Source organism: Homo sapiens, chromosome 7 (genome assembly GCF_000001405.40).
Source record: "Homo sapiens chromosome 7, GRCh38.p14 Primary Assembly".
NCBI lineage: Eukaryota > Metazoa > Chordata > Mammalia > Primates > Hominidae > Homo > Homo sapiens.
In genome coordinates, this window is record NC_000007.14 from 88,444,146 (window position 1) to 88,454,242 (window position 10,097).

At 39.8% G+C, this 10,097-nt stretch overlaps 1 non-coding gene and 1 pseudogene across 1 annotated transcript; both read right to left on the reverse strand.

Annotated features, from left to right (window-relative positions):
- Nucleotides 1–4,442: 4,442 nt before the first annotated feature.
- Nucleotides 4,443–4,873, reverse strand: EIF4A1P13 (eukaryotic translation initiation factor 4A1 pseudogene 13; annotated as a pseudogene).
- Nucleotides 4,947–5,086, reverse strand: LOC124900238 (small nucleolar RNA SNORA67). The gene has a single exon (XR_007060653.1). It is a non-coding gene; the product is annotated as a small nucleolar RNA SNORA67 (small nucleolar RNA).
- Between the last annotated feature and the right edge of the window lie 5,011 nt (nucleotides 5,087–10,097).

Sequence of the window (10,097 nt, forward strand, 5' to 3'; positions counted from 1 at the left end):
TTTGTATTTTTAGTAGAGACGGGGTTTCACCATTTTGGCCAGGCTGGTCTGGAACTCCTGACCTCAAGTGATCCACCTGCCTCAATCTCCCAAAGTGCTGGGATTACAGGCGTGAGCTACCGCGCCTGGCCGAAAACAATTATTTTGAGCCACAAATGTGAATAAGTTTTGACTTTCAATCCTGTATCATTGGAATGTGATCTGGGGGATGGTGGGGCAGGGCTGGTGTCTAAGTCCAAGTCTCATTTAGGTCCATTGATCCACTGTCCTCTTATTCTTTCTCAAAAGTCTGACAAATTTCTCTGCATAGTCCTCATTGCTCTACTGTAACATTCTTTTTGGGCCTTGTGGCCACTCTGTATATGTAGGAAACAAAAGTAAATCTCGCTCCAGAATTCTCCTCTATAAAAGGTCACAAAACTGTAGTTTAGGGGCACATCTTAAGGCTTTAGGGCATGTGTTGAAACCTTGGCTTGATTATATTTGCTTTTTAATGTTACAGGGATTTTCCATGTGTGGCTTGCACACGTTGATTTACACTAAGCAGACTGAACAAATACTGGAAAATATAGCAAATCTACAGAATAGGAGTGCTCCGAGGTAAAGAAAAAAAAAGAGTAATGCTTGGAAAGATATTGAATTAGAAACGGAGTTCCTGCTACTCTTACCATAATTTGTATGTTAAATTCCTCCAGTGATAAAAACCCTCATTAGTTCTTTCTAACCAACAGAAACAGAAATTTGTGCCAGAAAGAATAGAGAGATTAATTGAAGATCTTGCCTGCTGTTGGCCTATGAACTGCTAGAATGACTTTCTGTGCCCCTTTTTAAAAACATGAATCTTTAAAATCTTTAATGTTAAATTTCATATTAAATTAACAGTATTCACATGAACTTTAAAGGAGAAGTATTTACACTTTTTATTTCCTGAGGCAGTTGGTTGGGGTTTTTTTATGTGTTCAGTAGTGTCTCTGTCCCAAAGGTGTATGCTCACACTTGATTTATTTTTTCAATAAAATATTAGTGTATGAACTGATGCCTGTTATTTGTTTTTAGTGTCAGGGCATCAGGGCATCACCTCCTTCCTGAGGCATTTCACCTGTCTTTGTTAATTATTTTTTCACTCTGGGATTTTTTTACCCAGAGTATGTTAATTCCTTCTTTTTTTTTGTCATGGTTGTGTTAAGCATTATTTTCTTTGTTTAAGGTGACTCAGGAATCTACTCTTTATTGATTACTCTAGGGAGGTGGGTAAAATATTTGAATCTGAAAGCACTTTAGAGAACACATCTCAATCATATACAAATATCTGATATTTAGGGAAGATCAAATGTCATAGAATGGCTAGCCAAAAGTTGCTTTATGTCCTTGTTGCCTAATAAATCAGAACTGAGACATGAATCTTATTTCTTAGTCTGAAGAATTTGCCGCATATTCCTATCAGAACTTTAAACAAAAGAGGAATATTTACAGTTACCAAATACTAAATAGGTTTTCAAAAAAATTAAAATAAGACCAAGGTAAACCTCTTCACATTTTAAAAATTAGAAAAAGTTGAATTCAGCAATAGAGTGATATTCTTTTGTTATCTGTCTAGATCAGTGGTTCTTAGTGGGCAATATTCCCCCTGCAGAACATCTGGGAGTGGAGGGGAGTGGCGTTTTCTGCAGAGGCATGTTCAGTTGTCATATCTGGGGCCATGTTGCTACTGGCCTCCAATGCATAGAGGCCACAGGTACTGTTAAACATCCAACAATGCACAGGACAGTACCCCACAACAAAGAATTATCTGTCCCAAAATGTCAGTCATATTGAAAATGAGAAACCCTGGTGTAGATGAGTGGCTCTCATAGTGTGATGCCCAGACCAGCAGCATCAGTATCTCCTGGTACTTAGACGTGTACAGTGTTGGGTCTCAACTTGGGCCTCTTAATCAGAGTGGGCTCCAGCATTTGTGTTTCGTTGATTACTCTAGGTGATTCTGAAGCATGTATGTTTGAAAACCACTGAAACAAATATTTAAATCTTCTTTTTCAGTCACTTTAAAAAATATGAATTCTTACTTTCTACTCAACCTTTTTCTTTGAGCAGTGGCTGATGTTTGAAATGGAGCCTATTTACAAGCTCCAACTTCTTCTACCCACAAGAACATTCTTGGGTAAGGGCCTCTCTCCAGTCCTCTGGCCCAAAGAAGTCCCCTTGCCAGGAACAATCTGTGTTCTCTTCTGTTGTGTTGTTGTAAGAGATCGACAGTAGTCAACCCTATGCTTTGGTCTATCACAATTAGTCTATCCCATGAATTTATATAAAGCTGTAGCTTGTCCTGCAAAAAGTCAGAGCTGGTAGTTGGAAGTTTATGCAGCTGCTCCGTATGTTGCATCAAAGGGCTTTTGAAGTTAGCAGCCTGAGTTCTTTCTAGCTTTGAACCCATTAGTTTCATTTACAGTCCTGTAATTTGGGGCTGTAGTTTGTAGTCTGCTCTCAAATCTCACACTTACTAAATCAGTTATACTTGGGGGTTAGCTCAAACTAAAATCTGCACTGGCTTACAGTGCATATCTTAAGCCATGATGACTTGACATGGATTTCTTCATATATGAAAAAGTATACCACATTTTCTTGCCCATCTGTAGTACAGAAAATGGAACATCTAGAATTGTGAGGTAAGGAGATGAAATTTGTCATTGATGGCTTTTAGTAACTTGAGGAGGAACTGAATCCTTAAAAATACTAGACAGGAAACTTGTGGTTTGCCAGCCCATCTTTTTTTCCACCATGTATTTAAACTCTTGTATCAATGTAGGAAAAGACAGTTCTTGTATGAGTTTTTACAATAGAGTGGAGGAATGCAAATCTTATAATCAAGAACTCAGTCTTCATTATTCGCCTGCAAATCATACAATAAAATAAATCAGACAGACATGGCCAAATGTTCTTACTCAATTAATCTGGAAATATGTTATTCATCTGTTGTGGCCTGCTATTGCAGCTGAGAGTTTTGCTTCTCTTCCGCTCTATTGAGGGTTGCTGGCAAGTGGCGCTGCCAAGGGCTTGAAAACCTGAACACAAAGTAATTGTTTTGAATCCGGAGGAGAGGTGAACCATGTTACCACCTGTAGTTTCCTTTCTGAATCGCCCCTTCATTTCTGTGAGAGTTGGAGACTTCCACTGAGTCAGTATGAAAAATACTTTACATTATGCTGTCAGGAAATAATGCCTGCTCATAAGACTTTAGATAAAGTAATAGTCACAGGGCTGCAATGAAGGAAACATCCCCAAATTGGAGATAAACCTGTGTTCCAACTAGTCACATAGTCTCTTCATGTCTCATTCAGTGTCATTCTTCCAGAATTAAGAGGTAATTATGCTCTTCATGATCCTAGACACTTTTTCTTTTCTTGATGGCGAGAAACAACAAGGATCTGAATTTAATTGGTCTGCTTTTACCTCGTTTATTGACATAAATTTTTTTTTTAATAGTAGGCAGTTATGGTTTTTTTTTTCACCTTAGAAAATAGCCCTGGTGAAAAATAGACACTGTGGACTACTAGAGAGTCTAGAGGAAGTGGGTTAAAAAACTACCTATGGGATACTGTGCTCACTACCTGGGTTATGGGATTTGTACTCCAAACCTCAGCGTTACAAAATGTTCCCATGTAACAAATCTGCAATATACTCCCTGTATCTACAATAAAAATTGAAATAAAAAAATATAGCCCTAATGTGGACTCTTATGCTTTGGGATGACATAACCTGTTTTGGTTCCTTAAAATGTAGCTGAAATTCAGTAGGCTGCTTGGTTCCTTAAAGGTGATCAATAAAATACATGCAGACAATTTTCTTCAGAACAGTTATCACCCACTGAACAGGCAATTTAGTGATGACATTAATCCAGTGGGCTTGTTTTTGGTGTGTGTGGGGAGAAAACAATTTTTAATACTCTAAATCTGTGTTTTTTTGGGAACAGGATTAGAGTGGTTGATGATAGTCCTTATTTGTGTGTGTGTGTGTGTGTGTGTGTGTGTGTGTCCTTGAAGGCAGTAGACAGTTCTGAGGATGCTAGGGAATAAAGGAAGTAATAGGTGGTTTTCTTTTTCTTTCTTTTTTTCTTTTTTTTTTTTTTTTTTGCAGCTTCCAAGTCTTTTTATTTAGAATTTTGTGTTTGTTTCCTGAATCAATAGATACTATACAAAACAATGTAAAAAATGGCTACTATTTTCTCTCCCCAGCTTCCCCGGACCTGGGGACTCAATCCCCTGGGCAAACTCACTCCGGGGTTTTAGGGGTTCTCCCTCTAGATTTGGTCCAGCAAGTGAGGCTGAGTGACATAGTCCCTTGAATCACTTTCAAAGGAGCTCAGCTGAGGTGAAGAAAGCCTCTGGGATCTGGAGGTTACTAGGTTAGGGAAATGGATTAGTATTTTTTTGGGAGAAGAGCCAGTGCCTGGGGCAAGAGCCTACCCTAAAGAAAGGGTATCTAAAATGTTCACGGTTCCTTCTTTTGCCTCAAAAAGTGACATTTATTCAAAGAAAAAAAATGACAAGATGTCCATCCCTTGGCTCCCTTCCCTCCCGCCTCCTGCAGCTCCTCTGACCCCCAAGATTGAACCCTGGCTGGGGCTAGGTAGCAGGACAGCCCCTCAGATGAGGTCAGCAACATTGAGGGGGATTTCCTCAGTGAAGGTATGGAGGTATTGTAGAAAATCTCTATGTCTTGAAGAGTCCTCTTGTCTTCTTCTGTCACCACGTTAATAGCCACACCCTTACGGCCAAACCGTCCACTTCAAACAGTTCTACGGGTATAGTTTTCTCTGTTGGTCGGAAGGTCATAGTTGATGACTAAAGAAACCTGCTGCACATCAATGCCTCTGGCCTATGTCAAGAAAGACAACTCTTCAGCATGTGCACCAGAGGACAATCTATCCCGAAGGGAAGACACTTAGGTATCTATGTAGGCAGCCAAGGAAGGCAGAGGAAATAAGCATCCCTGTTCCTCAAAGACCTTAGGCATGCCAGATTCTATTCCAAGTTGCTACTTTCCTGAGAGGGGCACTAGATGTCCCCTTGGAGAGGGAATCGCCTTGGATAGGAATATGTGTTTTAAAGCAAGAAAGAATGAAATCAGTTAGGTGAATCCTCTGGGCATTTATCAAATGATTTTAAAAGTCAATCTTGTCTTTTTGGAGTCCCTGAATTAAACACTTTATTGTCAGGCAAGGGCATGAAGGCCATGGGAATCACCATGTTGGGTGGACCCAGTTTCTAATGGCCTGCATTTGCATATCAAAGTTTGCCTACCTGGCTCTCAACATATCTCCCCACATATCTCCACATGTGTAGAACATCCAGGGCACCCTGCATTTGCATATTAAAAGGCTACAGTGGGAGAGCCAGCTTTTTTGCAGCTATGTCAATGACATGCCTGGTCAAACCAATCCCCTGAGCCCTATGCAAACCAGACATTGCCTCATCCAGCCTCTGCATATATACCTAGCTGGTATCTGCATCAGGTGAGGACTTCCTCTTTCGGCTTTGGAGCCCCTCTCCCTCTCTCTGTACAGGGAAACTTCTTCCTTCTCTCTTCTCCCTTCCTTCTTGCCTATTAAACTCTCTGTTCCTTAAAACCAAAAAAATAAAAAATAAATAAATAAACACTTTATTGTCTTTAAGTCATCAATCATTTCTCAATTCAAATGCTAATTACTTTTCAAACAGACCCTTTCTGAAAGAGTTAACTCTGCCACTATTATGATTATGAGAGAATTCATGGTTCTGTTTCATGGGTACAGGCAAGTAGAAGACACATTAATGTACCAGCATACAAGTTATTTTCTACTCCTAAGAGCTCTAGGAAGAAATAGAAGGAATACGAGGCACATCTCTTTCTTTGTTAATGGTTTTATACAGTGTCTGTTACCTTGCAAGAACTCAATAGTTTATATCTTGAACAGATGAGCATGCAAACAAACATGAATTTGGTCTCCACTAGAAATACTGCAATGGTTACCAAGGGCCAATAGAAACAAAAGGTGCTTTTACTGATTACTTAAGCCATTTATTTATCTTACAATGAAATTTTACATAATTTACTTCAGGTACCATATGAAAAGGGAATTTCAAAATTGTCTTATTTAACCCTGTTATTCACCCCAAACAGGACAACTTAGCTCACACTAATGTATGTTTGTTCTTCAGTAAGTTGTTGTTTTTTTTGAGACAGTCTCAATCTGTCACCCAGACTGGAGTGCAGTGGCACGATCTCAGCTCACTGCAACCTCCCACTCCTGGGTTCAAGGGATTCTCTTGCCTCAGCCTCCCAAGTAGCTGGGACTATAGGCGCGTGTCACCACACCTGGCTAATTTTTGTATTTTTGGTAGAGATGGGGTTTCACCATGTTGGCTAGGCTGGTCTTGAACTCCTGGCCTCAAGTGATCTGCCCCCCACCCTTGGTGTCCCAAAGTGCTGGGATTGCAGGTGTGAGCCACAGCATCTATCCAATAATAGGTTTATGTAAGATCAGATGAACTTAAGATTACTCTAATTCTAGGCTATTTCTAGACTGTTGCTTAAGTAGATAGATGGGTAGTTTCCCAGGTTAGATGCTGGAATGCTTGTGGTGGGCACATTTTAATTCAATATTTGGGAGGAAAACGTGAGAGTAAACACACATCCTGACAGCCAAGAGAGCTGGTACTGGAAGGAATAAATGTTACCCAAAACTTCTAAATTCTGGACTGCTACTTTTACATCTTTATCTCTCCATACATTTCTCTCCCCTTGAATGGGTCTCTTCATCATCCTTTTTAAACCTAAACATCTACTCTCTATTTGTTTGTAGGCATTTAGATTGTTTATCTTTCTAAATCAACTGACCTATTTCCTCACATGGTGGATACTTCTAAGAGCTAGAGAAATAGATGACTTGGCAAAATTTGAGACTGGGATTTTTAAAAGGTTTGCCAGATCAATGTTCCAGATCAATTTTAACTCCTTATCTTGCTGAACTTGGACCTGTTGCCATTCTTCTTAGAGGGAGAGGAACTAATGTGTAGTGCTTAAATTCATAGACTCAGTGCTTGAGTTTGAATCACACGCATTTTCTAGCTGTGTGAGCTTAGGCAAGTAACTTAACTTTTCTGTGTCTTTTCAGTTTCTAAGCAGAATTTTGTAAAATGGAGTTCATAATAGTACCCATATCAGTGGATAGAAGATTGTATTAAATAGGTCAATTTGTGTAATACTTTTAGAACAGTCTCTGGCATACCGTAAACACTCAAAAAGTGTTAGCTACTTTTTATTGTCCTGTGTCTGTATCCCTGTAGCCTTAAAGGAAAACGTGCTCCTTGTGGCAGCCAGGACTCCCTCTCATGGCATTGTAAGTTTCTAGCAGGGCAGGAGAGAAGGGGAGCCTAAACACACACTCACTTGGGTGTACTTTGAGGTGAGGAAACTCTAGTGGACCCTTTTCACTTTTTTATTTTCCCATTCCCATAGCGATGACTAGCAAATTTCTAGGAAAAGTAAAAATAATTTTTCATCAGTACAATTTGATATTTTTATTTGGTCTAATCCATTTTAAAAAATGGCTGAAAGTAAGATAATGCGCAACAGATAGAGTTTTACTTTTCTCACAACCTAGGGAATCTAGAGTATTGGTTCAGTGGCTCAGGGGTGTCAGCACTTTGACTCTGAGATTCTTGTGGCCTTTTCCTCATGTTTGTTGCCTCTTTGTCTGTTTCCTTCTGCCTGAGAAAACAAAAGCTTACTCAGAACTACCCCTCCCACCTCCCTCCCTCCCCTCATACCCAAGAACTTTCTGCTAAAGTTCTCATTGGCTAGAAATGGGGCATCTGCAAACCCCAACTGCAAGGGAGCTTGGGAAAGTGGTGAATAGAGTACTCAGAATTGGTCTAAACAGATCATGCTCTTTTGCTTGGAACTGGGCACTGACTCTGAGCATTCTCAGGCATCTGTTTTCAAATAAAATGTGGGGAGGGATGGGCATTAGCCAGACCATTAGCAATGTCTTCTATAGTAGCTTTCATACTGGTTAATCTTGCCTGTCTCAGTGGTAAGCGCTTTTACTTGAATTATCTTCATTATTAATAAACAATAGTATAAATAGGTACCCCTTTTTACAGTGCAGAAAAATGAGGCAGCTAATAGGTGGTGAAGATGGGATTCAGGCTAAGGCCATCTGATGTCACGCTAGTGCTAACCCCCACCTGTCCATGCAATTATATTAGAGCTAGAGGCAAAGTGATTACCTGACCCCTCCTTGAGAAAATGAAATGTGATTTGTCAGGCTATTACTAGAGAGAAGAATCTCTGGAGTCTTTTATATGAGAATCCTGAACATTGAACTACGTGTCATGGCAAGTGACCCAGAATCTCTGAGAAGCACAGCCTCCCTTCTGAGCCCCTAGGTATATTCCTCTCTGTCCTCATTTGAGGAACTCTATTTTGATCTCTTTTATCCTTCTGCCTGGGATCTCTTTCTCTGTCAATTTATGGCAAGTTCCAGTAAAATATAACTCCTACAGTGTGGGTGACCCTGTACATTCTTTGACTTGTGAGAATTACCCTTATGTAATGAAATCTTTTCAAGAAACACTCACATACAATCAGCGTGCCTCCTTTCGGTGTAGGGAGGAGCACAAGGTTCACCAAGGATGTGGTCACATATTTTCCACTCTGATTGCACTTACACCTGGTTTGAGGCCTAATTATGCCATCAGCTCTGGCCCAGATGTCTGGCTGTGCAGCTGCAGGGAGAGTTGGTGCTGGGCTCACTTACAGGGAATTTAGTGGACTTTCACAGAGAATATCAAGGAGCTCCTTGTTTAGACTAGAGAAATGCTAGGGCTTCTGTTTTATTTTCACTCTTTTTTTGGCAGCGGCAGGCCTGGGTATACATTGGGGTAAGCAAAGTAAAGTATGATGCTCTAGCACCTGGCAGTTTGTAATGGGGAAGAAGACACTTTTCCTTGTAATGTCTCCCCTCCTCCACCAAAACATATTTCTAACAGTGGTTTTTCTCCTTTCCAATCTTCAGCCCAGAAGTGAAAAGCCATTCTGTATACTGGACAAGTTATTAACACTTCAATGTAAGGATTATCTGGTCTACTCATAAATTCTCAGAATCTGGGAAAGTGTCAGGGCAGCTATGGAGACTTTAGTACCTACCTCTAGAGCAGGGGGGTCAGCAGTGTTTTCTTGTAAAGGGCCAGATAGTAAACATTTTGAACTTGCTGGTCATATGCTTTCTGTTGACTCTATGGTTGTAACTCAAATGCACTCATAACAATCTGTAAATGAATGAGCATGGCTGTGTTCACTTGTGAACTTTGAAATTTGAATTTCACATAATTTTCAAATGTCGTAAAATATTCTTCTTCTTTTTTTCTCAACCATTTGAAAATGAAAAAAAAACATTTTTATCTCATGGTTCATACAGAAACAGGCAGTGGGTTCTACTTGGCCTATGGGCTGCAGCAGCTTGTTGACCCCTGTTCTAAATGACCTCTATCTAACAGAAACTTCTGTGATGGTTGAAACGTTCTATAATATTGAGCACTTGAAATGTAGCAATTCAATGGAGGAACTGCATTTTGAATTTTAATTAATTGGATTGTAAATTTAATTTTAAATAGCCACCTGTGACTAGTGGCTGCCTTATTGAATAGACCTAGAGATCTTCTATTTATCTGACCAAGATTTAAAACTTCCAATTTTTGTGTCTTTAGGTCAGAATTTTAAATTCCTGGAAGAAAAAATGTGGCTGGCCTAGTTAGGGCAAAAATCACAGACAGTTGTCTTCAGGAGCCCTATTACTGGTTGGGTCAAGTGGGATTTCCTGCAGAACAGAGCCTGCATATACAACCTGATGGAGGTTTGCTACAATTTTCCTGAAGTCTTTGAATTTTAAAAAGAGGTCCCTAATGGAAAGCAAGGAAATGACTCCAAGATGATATATGGTTGGTAGAATCAGAGTATGAGAAACATTTTGTTGCTATGCATTTTAGCACTCTTCAATTCATATTGTGATGTTGACTTGAATAACTCTGGGCCTGTCAGATAATATAATTGGCCCTTTA